The sequence below is a fragment of the Homo sapiens genome, chromosome 4 (genome assembly GCF_000001405.40).
Source record: "Homo sapiens chromosome 4, GRCh38.p14 Primary Assembly".
Lineage (NCBI taxonomy): Eukaryota > Metazoa > Chordata > Mammalia > Primates > Hominidae > Homo > Homo sapiens.
In genome coordinates this window covers 40,042,362-40,062,091 of record NC_000004.12, presented here as the reverse complement: position 1 = coordinate 40,062,091, position 19,730 = coordinate 40,042,362, and the positions used below count along the sequence as shown (strand labels likewise).

Sequence of the window (19,730 nt, the reverse complement as noted above, 5' to 3'; positions counted from 1 at the left end):
AAAAAAAAAAAAAGTAACCAAAAAATAAAGCAGTAAAAACAAAACAAAAATAAATAAATAAATAAAACCAAAAAATAAATAAAGCAGCAAATTAATGCAAATATTTTCAAGAAAAAAAGACACTAATGGCCAGGCATGGTGGTTCACACCTGTAACCCCAGCACTTTGGGAGGCCGAGGCAGGCAGATCACCCGAGGTCAGGAGTTCCAGACCACCCTGGCCAACATGGCGAAAACCCATCTCTACTAAACATACTAAAATTAGCCAAGCGTGGTGGCAGGTGCCTGTAATCCCAGCTACTCGGGAGGCTGAGGCAGGAGAATCACTTGAATGTGGTAGGCGGAGGTTGCAGTGAGCCGAGATCACACCACTGCACTCCAACCTGGGCAACAAGAGCAAAACTCCACCCAAAAAAAAAAATAAAATACGCCAGACACAGTGGCTCAAGCCTGCAATCCCAGCACTTTGGGAGGCTGAGGCGGGCGGATCACCTGAGGTTAGGAGTTTGAGACCAGCCTGGCCAACATGGTGAGACCCCATCTCTACTAAAAATACAAAACTTAGCTGGGCGTGGTGGTGCACATCTGTAATCCCAGCTACTTGGGAGGCTGAGGCAGAAGAATCACTTGAACCCAGGAGGCGGAGGTTGCAGTGAGCTGGGATCATGCCATGGCACTCCAGACTGGGCAACAAGAGCGAGACTCCATCTCAAAAATAAATAAATAAATAAATAAAATGAAATAAAAATATGAAAATTAGCCGAACATGGCAGTGGACACCTGTAATCCCAGCTACTCGGGAGGCTGAGGCAGGAGAATCGCTTGAACCTGGGAGGCAGAGGTTGCAGTGAGCCAAGATTATGCCACTGCACTCCAGCCTGGGCAACACAGCAAGACTCTACCTCAAAATAATAATAATAATAAAGACACTAATAACCTTAAATCTGGGGCTTGCATAAAGTTTTAAGAAAAACAGCCAGCTGAGGGTGGTGGCTCACACCTGTAATTCTAGGGCTTTAGGAGGCCAAGGTGGGAGGATTGCTTGAGCCCAGAAGTTTGAGGCCAGCCTGGGCAATATGGCAACACCCCGTCTCAATTTAAATTTTAAAAAAAGAAGAAGAAAAGAAAAGAAAAGCAGCTAATACATGATCAAAGGATATGCTCATACAATCCACGTTTAGAAAAACAGGCCAGGCGTGATGGCTCGGGCCCATATTCCCAGCAACTTGGGAGGTTGAAGTGAGAAGACTGCTTGAGCCCACAAGTTTGTGACCAGCCTAAGCAACACAGCGAGACCCTGTCTCTACAAAAAAATTTTAAAAATGAGCCAGGCACAGCGGTATGTGCCTATACTCCCAGCTACTCGGGAGGCTGTTGCAAGAGGATCCCTTGAGCCCAAGAATTCAAGGCTACAGTGAGCTATAATCATGCCACTGCACTCCAACCTGGACAACAGAGGGAGACCCTGTCTCAAAAAAAAAAAAAAAAAATCTAGCTACTTAGCCACATAAATTTATTAAAGCCTCTTTTAATTTTTAAAGTATGTGCGGCCGGGCACAGTGGCTCATGCCTGTAATCCCAGCACTTTGGGAGGGCAAGGTGGGTGGATCACCTGAGGTCAGGAGTTCACGACCAGCCTGACCAACAAGGTGTAACCCCATCACTACTCAAAATAAAAACATTAGCCGGGCGTGATCGTGTGCACCTGTAATCCTAGCTACTTGGGAGGCTGAGGCAGGAGAATTGCTTGAACCTGGGAGGCAGAGGTTGCAGTGAGCCAAGATGGCACCATCACACTCCAGCCTGGGCAACACAGTGAGACTCCATCTCAAAAAAAATAAATGAAGTATGAGAGCTCAGATAGAATTGATTAACCACAATCTAGATGTACAGTTCTAATAAAATAATTTCTGGAGGGCAATGCTGAGATAGGTAAGAAAGTAAAATACTCTTCCCAAGGCGCAGGCACAGTGGCTCACGCCTGTAATCTCAGCGCCTTGAGAGGCTGAGGCAGGAGGACTGCTTGAGCTCAGGAGTTCGAGAGCAGCCTGAGCAACATAGTGAGACCCTGTCTCTTTAAAAAAAGAAAAAAAAAAAAGAATAAGGTTTTGGGTCACAAAGATCTAAGTTTGACTGAAACCTACCTGATACATACATAACACTCCCACACACTAGTCGGGTAACTTTCAGCAACTTTCTTAATACTTCTCAGTCTCTGTCTCCTCCCCTGTAAGAATAGTGCAAATCTCAGAGTTGTAAGAATTAAATACAATCACATATGCAAAGTGCTTAAAACAGCACCTGGTGTGCATGTGTGTGTACATACACATAAGCCACTTCATTACTATGAGGACGAGGGCAATGAGGTTGATAATGATACATGGCTTGATGTATGCTTACTCATTATCAGGCAAGGTAGGTATCAAAAAAGTGTTCAATCTAAGGCCAGGCGGGGTGGCTCATGTCTGTAATCCTAGCACTTTGGGAGGCCAAAGCGGGCGGATCACTTGAGGCCAGGAGTTACAGACCAGCCTCACCAACATGACAAAAACCCATCCCTACTAAAAATACAGAAGTTAGCCAGGTGTGGTGTTGAGCACCTGTAATCCCAGCTACTCCAGAGGCTGAGACAAGATAGCGCCACTGCACTCCAGCCTGGGCGACAGAGTGAGGCTCTGTCTCAAAATACATACATACATACATACATAAAAAATGCTCAATCTCTTCTTAAATTCCTAACATAAACTACTTCTAAAGGCATTTAATAGACAACTGATTCTTCCCAAGACTTACAATATGATTTTGCATATAAAAAGCTGAAAGGAAAGCAAAGAAGGTAGATAGCTATTTTTCTGAAATTCATTAACTAATAAATGGTTGCTGCTTTGCATATCAAAAAACATGCATAATCATGGCTAATCATGATGAAAAGGGAGATTTTAAAAGGAAAATAATCAGCGTTTTAAAACGGCCGGGCGGGCGTGGTGGTCACTCCTGTAATCCCAGCACTTTGGGAGGCGGAGGCAGTTGGATTGCTTGAGCTCAGGGGTTTGAGACCAGCCTGGGCAACATGGCGAAACCTCCTCTCTACAAAAAATACAAAAATTAGCCGGGCGTAGTGGCTTTCGCCTCTAGTCCCAGCTACTCTAGGGGACGAGGTGGGAGGATGGCTTGAGCCCAGGAGGCAGACGTTGCAGTGAGCTGAGATAGTGCCACTGCACTCCAGCCTTGGCGATACGGCCAGACCTTGTCTCAAAAAAATAAATAAATAAGATGCAACTATGTAACAGTATTTAGATTTAAAATAAATACTAAAAAAAAAACATGCAACTAGTGATAATATTTAGCTTCTACTGTGTACATACAAGATACTATGCCTACTTTAATATACTTTAATGAAGGAAAAAACATGCCTCTACCATAACTTAAGCCCACTTTTTCTATGAAATACAGTACTTCTATCTCCCCTTCAAATTAACTAAAGTCAACAAGTACACAAACTGGCATTCGTACGTACTGCGTGCTGATTTCAACTGCTTTATTCTTTATTGTTTTACAGGTTAGTCTTTTTTCATTAACTAAATTGTAGCCTCCTTGCAAAAGAGCAGCCATTTATTTCCTATTCTTCCCACCATGTCCACCACTACAGCCCCTCGCTCCTACCCCCCATCCTAGCACGGCACTTAAATAATAAAAGGTCCTGGCAGCGAAACTCAAAACTGTTTATTTCTGACCTTTAGCAGTAAACAATGTTAGAAAGGCAGATGGAACCACGTTTATCAAAACACAGAACACACGATGTTTACATTTCCTAAAGCGCGTCTTTTAGTTAAAATTAAAGGATGAGAGTTAAAACGAGTTACAAAAGACAGCTGGTGTTTGAAAGAAAAACACTGGAAGTAATAAAAACGGAGTGAAAAGGCTGATGTTGGGATTAAAAGAAAACATTTTTTTAATACAGCTGCAAATCAGTCATTGTTTTCTGAGAGGCTAGGTTCATCTCCAGGATTTTCTTCTAGGAGCTCAACCAATGGCCACCTTTACTGAGTTAACCAGTCTCCAGGCAAGCAGCCCTTGCTGATTGGCTCAAAGATGTCGAGTAGAAAAAGCAGCCAATCCTGCCTTCAAGCCAGAACTGTGCCATGGAGACATTACAACCACTGCATGGCGAGAATGTGTACAAACCTGTCCGTGCCACAAATATCAGATCCTAGTTACAAAGACTGCCGCCGAAAGGAAGAGCCTTTGAAGCCAACACTGACACTGACCTGTCATCTACATTCTATTACTCTAGCTCTCTTTCGGAGGGAAAAAAAAAACTATTTTAACCAAAAGCGCATGAGAGATAAACTGTGCCCCCGCTAAGATGACTCACTCTATTGAGGATGAATTTCCAAACGGACGGCTTAGAGAGAGTCCCGATGAGAGAGGGGCTCTAGAAGGGTCCCATTGAGGGACAAAGTTGCAGATGGGGGCAGGGGAGGCGGGACGAGGGCCAAAGACACACAAATGCCGGGGAGGGGAAAGTCTCCCCGCAGTCTCCAAAATCCGAACGTGTGAGTGGCTGTGTGTCTGGACTTGAACTGAGTAAATAAACGGCTCTGCTAGGACTATGTGCTCAGGAAGGTGGCCTGAAGTTCCCAGAAGGCTCCGCCTGGCAAACACCTAAGGCGCCTGGAGGGGCGCAAGGTCAGGTCCCGGCGGGAACAGATCTGGGAGGAAACCTCGGGGGGTCGAGAGGGGTGTGTCTGGGGCCTGGAGGCCCGCCAGGCACTCGGAGGCCAAGGAAGCGGCCGCGGCCCCCGCCTTCGCCCGGCCTCGGGCTGAGCGCCAGGGCCCGCCTCTCGCCGACGCCTCACTTCCCTTCCGTCCGGGCAGCCGGGCCCGCGGGTCAGATCGGAGGCGGCCCGCGCCGGGCCCCACATTCAGGGCTTGGGGGTTCATTCGCCGCGCCGCCCGCCGCTGCTTCAGGCCCTCCGCTTCGGCTCGGAGCCCCGGGACCCCTAACCTCCAGGGCCCTCACCTTGGACCCGCCTCCCTGCCTCCCACCCGCCGCCTTTACCTGCTTCTGGAGCGGGCAGAGGGCGTCGAAGCCGGTGCCGCGTCGTCGAACGCACAACGCGGCGCCGCAGGTCCGCAGCCCTTTCCCGCCGGCGCCACTGCGCTCTCCCGCGCCGCGCAAGGCTAGCAAGCAGCTGCGGCCGCGGGGGAGACACGGCGAGCGCGCCCGGCGGGGAGACACTGCCGCTCTCCGTCCGGCCGGGGAAGAGCAGCCGCGCAGAAGCCCGCCGCGAGAGGGCGGGTGGGCGGCCGGGTGGGGAGGGGTCTCGAGGCGCCGGCAATGGCTGCCACGTCGCCCAGGTGGATCGCCGCCCACCGCCCCCCCCCAAGCCCGCCGGCTGTCCGCCACGACCTCTGCTTCGTCCCCGAGCTCCGCCTCGGCGCGGCGGCCCGGGGGACTTGAGCCCGCGGGCGCTCCCACCTCTCCCGCTCCCGCTCTCCCGTTGGAGAGCAAGCCCTGCCCGGCCGGTTCGGCTGCTTCCGGTCGCCCACCCCCCAAGTCTCGCCCGAGAGCGGGCCGTGGTCCCCACTTTTCTTATCAGGGGGTCCCTGGAGGAGCAAGCCCTTCTTCGAGTGTCGGGTTCTGCTTGGGGGGAAGGCGGGAGCTGTTTGGCGCTGGGGAACATTGCAACAGGCCCGGAATTTTTGCCAAAATAAGCGGCGCGGTAAACCACAGCTGTTTCTAGCCCTCGGCACTCTCCCGAGCCCCAAAAAACAAAACAAACACAAGGTCGGCCTCGCGAGGTGAGGGGAGAAAGGAAAGCAGAGCTGGGACGAGCCCTGACGCGCGCGGGGTCCAGGCTGCAAGTTGGGAGGGACGGCGAGGCGAGCGACCGGCCTCGGCATTGCCTGACTAGGGCCGTGGCCGCTGCGGCGGGCACGGGAACCCGCCTTCTCGCGCGCGGCCCTCCCGCGGGGGGCTTCCGGGCGCGCGGCCTCGGAGCCCCACGGGGAGACAAAGGGGTAGGCGACTGCCACGGGGTGGAGGGAGGCTGCCCAGCCCCATCGGCCCTGCCAGCGTGCGGTCTGAGCTCGGGGAATGTGTGCGCCTTAGCCGGTGGAACCGCAGCCGCTGGCCTTTGCCCCCAGTTCGAGCTTGAGTTTTCGGATGCCAAGAAAAAGCAAAGACGTGCTCTTCCCTCTTGCGACCGCTGTAGTATGAGTCCGTCCCCAAGCCTGCACCATTTTTTTTCTCTCAACTCTGCTTTCCCTGGTTTATTTGTTCTGGGTTCTGATGTGAAATGTTTAGTGTTTTCAGGGTACGCAAATTTTTCACCTTTGCTTTCTGGTTGGTGGTGGTGGTGGTGATGGTAGTGGTGGTGGTTTTGCCTGTTTTTTACTTCCTCCGTCCCCTCCCTTTGCGGTTACTTTTCATTCCACTTGCAGTGGTTTTTCCCAGAATAGAGAAGCGAAATAACCTCATGACAAAGTGTCCCTTTGCATCGAAGATACATTGTTGGTTGTTATGGCAGTTGCTTTAAACAGAGTGTAAATTTGGGGCAAGTGCAAGTGGTTTTTGTCGTTTAGGTCTAACTGGAACACTTATTCACAATGAGAACGTTGTAGTGCTTTTTCAAGAAACTAGTAATATATAAGGAGAGAACTCAAGAAGATAAATTTTCTGATGAAACCATCCATATAGAAAAATAGGGGAATTTTTCCTTTTGTATGAATTTTGTATTTAGAGGTCTCGAGTCCCAGTGTTAAATCACAGACTTCATGTTCATCCTTAAAAAAAAATCACTATACAAAAACCCCTTAATGCTTTTATTAAATTTCAAAAACAAAAAATTGTAATAACCCAGAATCTCAAGAGATAAATAGCTGTTGCTGAGAAGCTAACATTAACTCTGCCTCTAAACAACCATTATAAGAGACTAAAAACTGTAATATATGCCACTTTAGAAATGAAAGAACCCTAGTAATTATAAACTTGAAAGATGTCGAGGAAATTAATATTTTGTTTTTGAAATATGTTCACCATGATAATAAAAACTAGCATTTAAATTATTTTCCTTTGAACATCTGTTAAGGATTCATCAAATCTTAAGTCAGAACAATAAGAAATAAACTCTTCTTAACATTGGAAAATATATTTCAAGCCACAAAGACAACACCCAAGCTGAATGTTTTTAAAGTTTGTTTACTATGGCAATAAGAAGAACATCAACACCATAAAGTTCTGAAAGTGAGACTGGAATGAAGAACAAAGCAATCTTCACTCAACATTCGCAGTATCAGCCTTCGGTTGTGAATATTTATAAAGATTTCCTCCTTTCTTATTGGTTCAAATTCTAAGCCAATGGGAAAAGTACAACACGTCTTTTAAAGGGTGAAGCATCAATCAGCATTAGATTAGTATCTGGGATAAAGGTTTTGGTTATCATGCTCGTTCTCATTGAAGTTCATGTCCCTTTAAATTTCTTTTTTTTTTGGGGCGGCGGGGGGGCGGTGACTAGAGTTGCTCTGTTGCCCAGGCTGGAGTGCAGTGGCACAGTCTCAGCTCACTTCAACTTAACGCCTCCCGAGTTCAAGTGATTCTCGTGCCTCAGCCCCCCGAATAGCTGGAATTGCAGGCGTCTGCCACCAAACCCAGCCAATTTTTATATTTTTAGTAGAGGAAGGGTTTCTCTGTGTTGTCCAGGCTGGCCTCTAACTCCTGACCTCAGGTGATCCTCCCACCTCGGCCTCTCAAAGTGCTGGAATTAAAGGCGTGAGCCACCGCACCGGGCCGTGTCTCTTTAAATTTCAAAGAAGACATTTAAGAATAGGGCCTGGCACAGTGGCTCACGCCTGTAATCCCAGCACTTTGGGAGGCTGAGGCAGGCGGATGGGATCACGAGATCAGGAAATTGAGACCATCCTGGCCAATACAGTGAAACCCCGTCTCTACTAAAAATACAAAAAGTAGCTGGGCGTGGTGGCATACACCTATGGTCCCACCTACTCGGGAGGCTGAGGTAAGAGAATCGCTTGAACCGGGGAGGCTGAGGTTGCAGTGGGCCGAGATTGCGGCACTGCACTCCAGCCTGGGCAACAGAGCAAGACTCCATCTCAAAAAAAGAATTATTGACTATCTTGTGGGTGCCACACCTGCTCACATTCTCTTCAGTCTTCCAGTTGGTTTTATTACAATTGGTCTTGTTAGAATTATGTGACAATATATCTAAAATGCCAGATAAATCTGAGGAATGGTAAAATGTCTACTACTTAATACATTAAAATGAATCCTGGCATTTTAGATTAAAAACTTACCTTTAAGGAAAGACTAAAGTTTATATTTTGGGCCGGGCGCAGTGGCTCACGCCTGTAATCCCAGCACTTTGGGAGGCCGAGGCAGGCGGATCACGAGGTCAGGTGATGGAGACCATCCTGGCTAACACGGTGAAACCCCGTCTCTACTAAAAATACAAAAAATTAGCTGGGCGTGGTGGCGGGCGCCTGTAGTCCCAGCTACTCGGGAGGCTGAGGCAGGAGAATGGTGTGAATCCGGGAGGCGGAGCTTGCAGTGAGCCAAGATTGTGTCACTGCACTCCAGCCTGGGCGACAGAGCCAGACACCGTCTCAAAAAAAAAAAGAAAAAAAAAAAAAAAAAGTTTATATTTTGGGAAATGTCTTGGATTTTTGTAAAAAAAAAAAAAAAAACTGCCAAGTCGTCAAAAGTAAACCTTTTATATTTACCTAAGTCCAACTTTGGTCTATGTAACAGCTAAATTCTAAACATGATTGTCTGTGTTTATGTTTAGAACATAGGTATGATTTCCTTCCAACCAAAAATATTAATAATCTATGCCACCTTTGTATTCCTATACTTGGATTATGACTTGAAGCATTCCACTTAATTATTCATGTGTTTATAATCTCCCTTACTAAGTCATCAATGCCTTGAAGTTTCCCATTCAGCCTTGTATTCCTCATTGTCAGACTCCCAGCCTTGTGCAATATAAACACTCCATGAATGTTTACTGAGTGAAAGAATAAGTGAGCATCACTCTATGACAAGACATATGGCAAATCAAGAAAATCTGTGTCAGGATTTTTTCCTCTTCTACATAATGGCTAATGACACTGTTTTCATTCCCAACTAAGAATAGTATTGTTGACCAGGCGCAGTGGCTCACACCTGTAATCCCAGCACTTTGGGAGGCCAAGGCGGGCGGATCACGATGTCAGGAGATGGAGACCAGCCTGGCTAACATGCTGAAACCCCGTTTCTACCAAAAATACAAAAATTAGCTGAGTGTGGTGGCTCTTGCCTGTAGTCCCAGCTACTCAGGAGCCTGAGGCAGGAGAATGGCTTGAATCCGGGAGGTGGAGGTTGCAGTGAGCCAAGATCGTGCCATTGCACTCCAGCCTGGGTGACAGAGTGAGACTCCATCTCAAAAAAAAAAAGAATAGTATTGTTGCAAGAACTTTACTAAAAGAAAGTAGGACCAACATATGCTGGAATTATTGTGTTTTTCCATTTTAAATTTAGTGGAAACCGAATAGTAGATAATATTGCCATTATCTAAAGTAAATAAATATCAATGGGTTTTATCTTTATGTAAGATTTCTTTACCACACTCAACCCAGGGTGCATCAAGCTCTGACCTTGGGAAAATTACTTAAACTCTCAAATACTCAGTTTTCTCATCTCTCAAATAGCATTCATAAAAGCTACATTCTGATTAATTAAAATAATAAATGTACATAAAAGAGGCTTAATAAATAGTAGTTATTACTCACAGATATTAGTGGACTCAATCATAAAGAAAATGTAATTTTCTTAGTGCAATTATTTATCTATAAAAGGTGCCATCCTGGACAACATGGGGAAACTCCATCTCTACAAGAAATACAAAAATTAGCTAGGTGTGGTGGTATGGACCTACAGTCTCAGCTACTTGGGAGGCTGAGGTGGGAGGATCACTTGAGCCCAGGAGGCAGAGGTTGCAGTGAGCTGAGATCGCGCTACTGCACTCCAGCCTGGACAACAAAGTGAGACATTGTCTCAAAAAAAAGAAAAAAAAAAGGCAAGCATAAAGGCTGTTAAAATAATAATAAGGAAACAAATATCCTAAAGGAAGGAATAGGGTACTAAGAAAATCTACCAAAAGAAGATAACTTTTGCAGCCTGGACAACATGGTGAAACTCCATCTCTACAACAAATGCAAAAATTAGCTGGGCATGGTGGCATGTGCCTGTAGTCCCTGTTCCTCAGGAGGCTGAGGTGGGAGGATCACCTGGGTCTGGGAGGTGAAGGCTGCAGTGAGCCAAGATTGCACCACTGCACTCCAGCCTGGACAACAGAGTGAGACACTGTCTCCAAAAAAAAAAGGAAAAGAAAAAAAAGATAACTTCTAAAAATAAATATCAATGGCATTCCAGTCTGAGTGAAAACTTTATGAAAAACCAAATCTGATTGTGTCTCTCTCCTCTCACAAACTTCACAGCTCCTCTAATTTCTACTAGCTTTTCTCAATAGGGATAAATAGTTATGCATTGCTTTTAAACTGAAGGGCTTCTCATTGCACTCTGTTTTTTCTTTGAATAAATTCTCAGAGCTTTTAATATGCCAATGTGCCTAGGAACTCTAAGAAAAGGATATACTAGTAAATATTTCCAAACTTACTTGACCGCAAATCCTTTATTCATAGAGAGTATCCCAGGACATGTGATTTTATATCACATTTTGGAGGAAACACTTGTCTACATATTTGAAGATAAAATCCAAACCCCCTCACCTCTGCTTCCAAATGCTGCCACTCCTGCAAAAATGACCTCAAATAAGCCTGAAATGTAGGTCTCCTGAGAAATGCTCTTGAGAAATTGACCTTTGTTTTACCCAGTTTCTCTGTACATGAATGGACAGGCATGAGGCAGTCTCCAAACTTGACAAGAAAGGGTGGAGATAGGATTGGCAAAAACAGTATTAAAAAAAAAAAGTCTGGATAATGCCAAGGATAGCTTCCTTATTCCCAGGATAATCCTCCTTCTTTGAGTGTGATAGCAACAACAATTCTGTGTCTTCGTGAGAAACTTTACGGGAAGCCATACCTCTTGTCTGTAAGCATGTTGTGGGAGCTCCAGCTTTATGTAACTGTAAGTTTTCTTTTTCTTTTTTTTTAATACGGAGTCTAGCTCTGTTGCCCAGGCTGGAGTGCAGTGGCGCGATCTCTGCTCACTGCAACCTCCACCTCCCGGGTTCAAGCGATTATCCTGCCTCGGCCTCCCAAGTAGTTGGGATTACAGGCGCCTGCTACTACAGCTGACTAATTTTTGTATTTTTAGTAGAGACGGAGTTTCACCATGTTTGTCAGGCTGATCTCCAAACTCCTGACCCCAGGTGATCCACCGACCTCGGCCTCCCAAAGTGCTGGGATTACAGGCATGAGCCACCGCACCCAGCCAAGTTTTCATATCACTTGCCTATCACTTGCCAATAGGGAAACTATACATCCTGTAACCATACCTGCTAACATTCTTCTGTCAGTTATATTACTCCTCTATTTGAGACAATCACACACCTCACAATACATCCTTTCCAGGGATGTTGAACCATTGGCTAACCTAGTCATTCACTTTCATTTGTGTTTACAACCCAACCCAAATGCCCTTTTATCCTGTAAAGCTTTTCTGGATGCCCCAAATAGAACGGTTTATTTATTTATTTATTTTATTTTATTTTTTTTTTTTTTTGAGAGTCACCCAGGCTGGAGGGCCGTGGCATGATCTTGGCTCACTGCAACCTCTGTCTCCCAGGTTCAAGCAATTCTGCCTCAGCCTCCCAAGTAGCTAGGATTACAGGTGTGTACCACCACACCTGGCTAATTTTTTTGTATTTTCATAGAGACAGGGTTTCACCATGTTGGCCAGGCTGGTCTCAAATTCTAGGCTCAAGTGATCCTCCCACCTTGGCCTCCCAAAGAGAATGATTTCTTCTATGCCCACAGCAATGTCTGTGTACTTCTCTTAATTGCAGTGATGATTATTTGTTGGTCTGTATCTTTGCTAAAACTGTGAACTCTCTTCCCCTAGACAAAATATGTATCCACAGTAACTAGAAAACATACCTTACACATTGAAATGTACTAAACTCCTTTTAGGGTACCTTCCTAGCTTACAATTTCCTAGTCAGTTGTACCCTCTTCCCCCAATTCTACAGGACCAGACTCCAGGGTTTTGAAAAATCACTCTACTTCCTTCACCACAGTTAACCAAGAGTGGGTGTTTTAATCCAATTAGTCTCTTCCAGGGAAATTTTAGAATTGGGACAAAGACCATTAGTAAAATCAAAATACAAATAATAAACAAGAAAAAATGCAATTCACATCGGAGACAAAGGGCTGATTTCTCTAATATACAAACATGTAGAAATCAATAAGGAAAAGACTAACGACCCAATAGTAAAAAATGGACACATTATAAAAAAGACTGCTCACAGAAAAAGAAATACAAATTACTCTTAAGCATATTTTTAAATTACATATGTGCAGCATTGTTTGTAATATAGCAAAAGATGGGGGAAAAACCTAAATGCCCACCTACAGGGAACTGGTTAAATGCAGTATGTTAGATGAAAAGAGCAGAATGCCACAATATAAGAGGATGATGTCACTCTAAATGTTCATACTGCACCATCTCCAAGATATATTGCTCACTGTGTGTATGGTATGCTGCCATTAGTGTAAAAAAAATGGAGAGGAGGAAAAGATAGATAAATATAGATAGGTAGGTAGGTAGAAAGATATGATGATGGATGGGATGGATGGGATGGATGGATGGATGGATGGATGGATGGATGGATGGATGGATGGCTTTTATCACATATACATAGAATATCTCAAGAAGAAGATAGAACAAACTGCTCCATTAATTGCTTTTGAGAAAGCAAATGGTGGCTAGAGGAAAGAGGATGAAGAGACTTTTCACTGAACCAATTTTATATATTTATTTATTTTTCATGACAGGATCTTGCTCTATTGCCCAAACTAGAGTGCAGTGGCACGATGTCAGCTCATTACAGCCTAACTTCTAGGGCTCAAGCTATCCTCCTGCCTCAGCCTCCCAAGTAGCCAGGACTACAAACACAAACCACCATGCCAGGCTAATGTACCAATTTTTTTTTTTTTTTTTTTTGAGGCAGTATCACTGTGTCGCTCAGGCTGGAGAGCAGTGGCGCAATCTCGGCTCACTGCAACCTCCACCTCCTGGGTTCAAGGGATTTTCCTGTCTCAGCCTCCCGAGTAGCTGGGATTACAGATGTGCACCATCACGCCCAGCTAATTTTTGTATTTTTAGTAGAGACAGGGTTTCAATATGTTGGCCAGGCTAGTCTCGAACTCCTGACCTCAGGTGACCCACCTGCCTCGGCCTCCCAAATTGCTGGGATTACAGGCGTGATCCACTGCACCCGCCCTTTTTTTTTTTTTTTGAGACGGAGTCTCGCTGCGTGATTCTCCTGCCTCAGCCTCCCGAGTAGTTAGGATTACAGGCACACGCCACTACACCAAGCTGATTTTTTTTTTTTTTAACAGAGTCACGCTCTGTCACCCAGGCTGGAGTGCAATGGCACGTCTCGGCTCACTGCAACCTCTACCTCCTAGGTTCAAGCGATTCTCCCTGCCTCAGCCTCCAGAGTAGCTGGGATTACAGGTGCCTGCCACCATGCCAGGCTAATTTTTGTTTTGCTTTGTTTTGTTTTGTTTTTTGAGACAGAGTTTTGCTCTTGTTGCCCAGGCTGGAGTGCAATGGCACGATCTTGCCTCATTGCAACCTCCACCTCCCATGCTCAAGCGATTCTCCTGCCTCCCAAGTAGCTGGGATTACAGACATGCGCCACCACGCCTGACTAATTTTGTATTTTTAGTAGAGACAGGGTTTCTCCATGTTGGCCAGGCTGGTCTCGAACTCCTGACCTCAGGTGATCCGCCCACCTCAGCCTCCCAAAGTGCTGGGATTACAGTCATGAGCCACTGCGCCCGGCCCTAATTTTTGTATTTTTAGTATAGAACAGGGTTTCACCATGTTGCCCAGGCTGGTCTTAAACTCCTGACCTCAAGTGATCTGCCCACCTTGGCCTCCCAAAGTGCTGAGATTATAGGCGTGAGCCACCACGCCAAGCCCCAATTTTTTTTTTTTTTTTTTTTAATTTGTGACAGAGTCTCACTTTGTTGCCCAGGCTGGAGTGCAGTAGTGCAATCTAATCTCACCTTGCAACCTCCACCTCCCAGGTTCAACCCCTCCTGGGTTCAAGTGATTCTCCTGCCTCAGCCTCCTGAGTAGCTCGAATTACAGGCACGCACCACCACACCCAGCTAATTTTGGTATTTTTAGTAGAGATGAGGTCTCACCATATTGACCAGGCTGGTCTCGAACCCATGACCTCAAGTGATCAGCCTGCCACGGCCTCCCACAAGTGCTGGGATTACAAGCATGAGCCACTGTGCCTGGTCTTAAAAAAAAAAGAAAAGAAAGAAGAAAATTTTAATTAGCTGGGCACGGTGGTGTGTGCCTGTAGTTCCAGCTGCTTTGGAGGCTGAGGTGAGAGGATGGCTTGAGCATCCAGCCTGGGCAACAGAGCAAGACCCCATCTCTTAAAAAAAAAATCTATTTGCTGTGTAAAAATAAATAGCATTTAAGTAAAAATATAAAAGATTTGCGATTCTCAGTTTCTTTGTGCTGCTGAGCTTGTATAGGATTAACTCAGGAGTTGGAGGCAGCTATATTCTACGTCAGGCCAGGGTAGCAGAGGAAGCTGCTCGAGAGAGAAGAAACAAGCAGAGAAGAGATATTGGAGAGATGGAGAGAAGATAATGTCTGGGCTCTCAACAACTTGTTTTTGGCCTTTCCTGGGGCCAGCTACATCTCTCTCCTTGGTTTCTTCGAAACATCCCTATATTCTTATAATAAATCTCTCCTTTTTTGGCCTAAGCTAACTTGAGTTGTTTCTTGATAGTTGCATCCAAAGAAATCTCACTGTCATAGCAGGTTTTCTTTTTTGTTTTTGTTTGTTTGTTTGTGACAGGGTCTCGCTCTGTCACCGGGGCTGGAATGCAGTGGCGTGATCTCGGCTCACTGCAACCTCCCACCCCTAGGTCAAGCGATTTTCTTGCCTCAGCCTCCCAAGTAGTTGGGATTACAGGCATGCACCATCAGGCTCGGCTAATTTTTGTATTTTTAGTAGAGATGGGTTTTTGACATGTTGGCTAGGCTGGTCTTGAACTCCTGACCTCAACTGATCCACGTGCCTTGGCCTCCCAAAGTGTTAGGATTACAGGCGTGAGCCACTGCGCCTGACCTCATAGTAATTTTTCTGTAAATGCTTGTTAAAAGGAAATGTAAAGTTCTTTGTAATGAAATTATTTAGGTTCTCAAAATTTGATTGTACTTTAAAAAAAAAAATCTCCTAAATTGAGGGAGGCCAGCTCCAGAGGTGTCGTTAAAGACATTCACCCTAAGCTAAGGTGGTGTTTGTTCATGGAAAATATGAGCTGGGCCTGGGGCCAAGTAACACATTCCACCCACTAGACTTTCCTCTCAGTCCCTGCCTAAGAAGTTAGACTTTTCAATGTTTGGTGATGACCTGCCTGAAAGATAAATGCTGAATGTTGCTAAATAGAATGGAGTTTGAGGAGTGTGAGACATTTTTGTTTGGTTTGGTCTGGTTTCTGTTTTGAAAGGAAAGGCGTTAGGGCCAGGGCAAGAGCACCAATCCCAGGGTAAAGAGTCCTTGTGATAATTATTTTAGTACATTCAAATATGGGTTTCCATTCTAGCTAATTCTGCAAGACTCAAAAAAAAAAGAAAAAAGAAAAAGGAAAAAAGATATATGTTTCCAAGTTCTAGGACTACTTAAACCTTTGAGGCTAATACCTTTCTGAAGGCAAAGTCCATTTCTCTGTCAGTGTTTTCAACGCTATAGATAGTACTATCCTCTTACTATTTATTTTATATTATTATTCCCAGTACTGAACAGACGGAAAGTACTTAGGAAAATCCTCAAAGTCCCAGAATGGTATTCATAAGGCAACTCCTAGAGTTCAATAGCCTGCAAATGAAGTTAAATATATTAAATATATTTTATATAAGCATGATATCATAATGCTCCAAAAATATCATACACTCCAAAAAATGACAGAATGGCAGCAAAAAAAGCTGCATATATGTTTATGCTTTTTTTTTTTTTTTTTTTTGAGACAGTCTCACTCTGTCTCCTGGACTGGAGACTGGCATGATCACAGCTTATTGCAGCCTCAAACTCCCTGGGCTCAGGTGATCCTCCCACCTCAGCCTCCTAATAGGTGGGACCACAGGCATGTGCCACCATACTCAGCTAATAATTATATTTTTTGTAGACACAGGGTTTTGCCGTGCTCCCTAGGCTGGTCTCAAACTCCTGAGCTCAAGCAATCTGCCTGCCACAGCCTCCCAAATTGCTGAGATTACAGGCGTGAGCCACTGTGTTCGGCCTGTTCACACATTTTTTATGTAAGATGAATTTAAACTGGATGATAAAATTGTCTCTCATGTGAAATAAGTCAGAATAATTGCATTATAAATACTAAGGTTAAAAAAGCGTAATTTATTTCTATCATTGAAATACCATTGAAAAATTGAATAACATTATTTAAATACCAGGAACCAACCATACCATTCAAGCAATATTTCTTGAAAATTCATTAGGGATATCATAAAAGTATAAGACATGGCCCCTGTCCTTAAGGAGCTTTGTTATAATTTATGTGAGGTAAGACAGATACAAAGCATCATCATTGTTATTTTTACTAACAGAAGTAGTATGGTGAAGTGGAAAATAATACAGGCTTTTAAATCTTAGGTGTAGATCCATATTTTTAGTTCTGCCATCCCATTAATGTATGATCTCTGCAAAGATACTTAACTGCTCCTAGGCTCAATTTCTTTAATTCTACAGTGGGGATAAGGATGCTAATTTTTTTGTTTGTTTTTTGTTTTAGAAAGGGTCTCACTCTTTTGCCCAGGCTGGGGTGCACTGGCACTATCTCGGCTCACTGCAACCTCTGCCTCTGGAACTCGAAGGATCATCCCACCTCAGCCTCCCAGGTATCAGGGACTACAGGCACATGCCACCATGCCCGGCTAACTTTTGTATTTTTGGTAGAGACGGGGTTTTGCCATGTTGCCCAGGCTGGTCTCAAACTCCTGAGCTCAAGTGATCCACCTGCCTCGGCCTCCCAAAATACTGGGATTACAGGTGTGAGCCACCGCACCCAGCCAGGATGCTAAATTTAAAGGACTGGTTTTTAGCCAGGCTTGGTGTCAAGAGCCTGTAATCCCAGCTACTCGGGAAACTGAGACAGGATAATTGCTTGAACTTGGGAGGTGGAAGTTGCAGTGAGCCAAGATCGCGCCACTGTACTCCAGCCTGGGTGACAGAGTGACAGCCTGTCTAAAAAAAAGAAAAAAGAAAAAAAAAGAACATGTTTTGTTTTGTTTAGTTTTCTTTAGAGATGGGGATCTCACTATGTTGCCCAGGCTGGTCTATGAACTCCTGGGCCCAAGCGATCTTCCCTCATCAGCCTCCCAAAATGGTGGGATTACAGGCCTGAGACACTGTGCCCGGCCAGGACAGTTGCAAGAATTAAATTGCATTATAGATGCAAATACCTAAGTAAACGCTCGATATGTGTCAGGTGTTCGAAAAATACTAGTTTATTCTCCATCTGAATTGAAGGGATTGAATATTTTCTAACTCGTTTCTACTTATTGATAAATAATAGTTTTATTATTGGTGAATTTTAAAATTGAAGTTAGCTAAAACTGCAATCATTTTAACAACCAAAACTTTAATTTTCTCAACACTAAAACTCAATTCCGCGCCAGGCCTGCCAGACACCTGCGCCCTCCTGCAGCCACCGCCACAGCTGCCAGCATGTCTGGCCCAGACATCAAGACGCCGACCGCCATCCAGATCTGCCGGATTATGCGGACGCTAATGTGGCCCGCAATGTCTAGGCGGGACCATCCTGAAGATGATCAAAGAGGCGGGCGCCATCATCAGCACCCGGCATTGCAATCCGCAGAACGGGGATCGCTGTGTGGCCGCTCTGGCTCGGGTCGAGTGCACCCACTTCCTGTGGCCCATGTGCATCGGTGAGGTGGCCCACGTCAGCGCGGAGATCACCTACACCTCCAAGCACTCTGTGGAGGTGCAGGTCAACATGATGTCCGAAAACATCCTCACAGGTGCCAAAAAGCTGACCAATAAGGCCACCCTCTGGTATGCGCCCCTGTCGCTGACGAACGTGGACAAGGTCCTCGAAGAGCCTCCTGTTGTGTATTTCCGGCAGGAGCAGGAGGAGGAGGGCCAGAAGCGGTACAAAACCCAGAAGCTGGAGCGCATGGAGACCAACTGGAGGAACGGGGACATCGTCCAGCCAGTCCTCAACCCAGAGCCGAACACTGTCAGCTACAGCCAGTCCAGCTTGATCCACCTGGTGGGGCCTTCAGACTGTACCCTGCACAGCTTCGTGCATGAAGGGGTGACCATGAAGGTCATGGACGAGGTCGCCGGGATCTTGGCTGCACGCCACTGCAAGACCAACCTCGTCACAGCCTCCATGGAGGCCATTAATTTTGACAACAAGATCAGAAAAGGCTGCATCAAGACCATCTCCGGACGCATGACCTTCACGAGCAATAAGTCCGTAGAGATCGAGGTCTTGGTGGATGCCGACTGTGTTGTGGACAGCTCTCAGAAGCGCTACAGGGCCGCCAGTGTCTTCACCTAAGTGTCGCTGAGCCAGGAAGGCAGGTCGCTGCCCATGCCCCAGCTCGTGCCGGAGACCCAGGACGAGAAGGGCTTTGAGGCCTGGCTCGGTGGCTCACGCCTATAATCCCAGCACTTTAGGATGCTGAGGCAGGCGGATCACTTGACGTCAGGAGTTCAAGACCAGCCTAGCCAACATGGCAAAACCCCATCTCTACTAAAAATACAAAACTTAACTGGGCGTGGTGGCAGGCGCCTATAATCCCAGCTACTCAGGAGGCTGAGGCAGGACAATCTCTTGAACCTGGGAGGCAGAGGTTGCAGTGAGCCAAGATCATGCCACTGCTCTCCAGCCTGGGCAACAAGAGCAAAACTCCGTCTCAAAAAAAAAAAAAAAAAAAAAAAAAAAAAAAAAAAACTAGAACTCAAATATCCAGGATTTTTAATCAGGTAACTAATGTAGATAAGGGGGAAAAAACTAAGAATATACTGATTTATGCCAGGCGCGATGGCTCACGCCTGTAATCCCAGCTCTCAGGGAAGCAGAGGTGGGAGGATAGCTTGAACCCAGGAGTTCAAGACCTGACTGGGCGATATAGTGAGACCCCGTTCTCCACAAAAAGGAAGAAAAAAAAAGACAAAAAAAAAAATAAGCGTAAGAATATACTGATTTACCTGGAAAAATGTTATTTGTAATCCCAACTTGCTCTCTGAATGTAATAATATCACGTAACATCAGTGACTTTTGTTTTGTTTTGTTTTTTGAGGCAGACTTTCGGTCTTGTTGCCCAGGCTGGAGTGCAGTGGCATGATCTCAACTCACTGCAACCTCCGCCTCTCAGGTTCAAGCAATTCTCCTGCCTCAGACTCCCCAGTAGCTGGGATTACAGGCTTCTACCACCATGCCTGACTAATTTTTTGTATTTTTAGTAGAGAT

At 45.5% G+C, this 19,730-nt stretch overlaps 1 protein-coding gene and 1 pseudogene across 6 annotated transcripts in view, besides 5 other annotated features; one reads left to right on the top strand and one right to left on the bottom strand.

The window, feature by feature from the left end:
* The window catches only part of N4BP2 (NEDD4 binding protein 2), a 133,621-nt gene extending 128,379 nt beyond the window's left edge, over positions 1 to 5,242 (bottom strand). For all 5 annotated transcript variants that reach the window (XR_007057942.1, NM_001318359.2, NM_018177.6 and 2 more), the window contains exon 1: positions 5,062 to 5,242. The gene's annotated coding sequence lies outside the window, so the exon portion shown is untranslated. The remainder of the gene's footprint in view (positions 1 to 5,061) is intronic.
* Positions 4,181 to 4,280: an enhancer, noted in NCBI's record as "active region_21472". NCBI's record gives its function as "activates an Ori minimal core promoter by ATAC-STARR-seq in GM12878 lymphoblastoid cells {active_cell/tissue: GM12878}" and the evidence as "EXISTENCE:reporter gene assay evidence [ECO:0000049][PMID:35858748]".
* Positions 4,381 to 4,430: an enhancer, noted in NCBI's record as "active region_21471". NCBI's record gives its function as "activates an Ori minimal core promoter by ATAC-STARR-seq in GM12878 lymphoblastoid cells {active_cell/tissue: GM12878}" and the evidence as "EXISTENCE:reporter gene assay evidence [ECO:0000049][PMID:35858748]".
* Positions 4,621 to 4,970: a silencer, noted in NCBI's record as "silent region_15377". NCBI's record gives its function as "represses an Ori minimal core promoter by ATAC-STARR-seq in GM12878 lymphoblastoid cells {active_cell/tissue: GM12878}" and the evidence as "EXISTENCE:reporter gene assay evidence [ECO:0000049][PMID:35858748]".
* LOC344967 (acyl-CoA thioesterase 7 pseudogene) lies at positions 4,893 to 19,175 on the top strand (annotated as a pseudogene). Its single transcript, NR_027277.2, has 3 exons — positions 4,893 to 5,131; positions 17,022 to 17,127; positions 17,908 to 19,175. The product of NR_027277.2 is annotated as an acyl-CoA thioesterase 7 pseudogene (transcript).
* Positions 5,021 to 5,480: a silencer, noted in NCBI's record as "silent region_15376". NCBI's record gives its function as "represses an Ori minimal core promoter by ATAC-STARR-seq in GM12878 lymphoblastoid cells {active_cell/tissue: GM12878}" and the evidence as "EXISTENCE:reporter gene assay evidence [ECO:0000049][PMID:35858748]".
* Positions 5,821 to 6,030: a silencer, noted in NCBI's record as "silent region_15375". NCBI's record gives its function as "represses an Ori minimal core promoter by ATAC-STARR-seq in GM12878 lymphoblastoid cells {active_cell/tissue: GM12878}" and the evidence as "EXISTENCE:reporter gene assay evidence [ECO:0000049][PMID:35858748]".
* Positions 19,176 to 19,730: the final 555 nt, after the last annotated feature.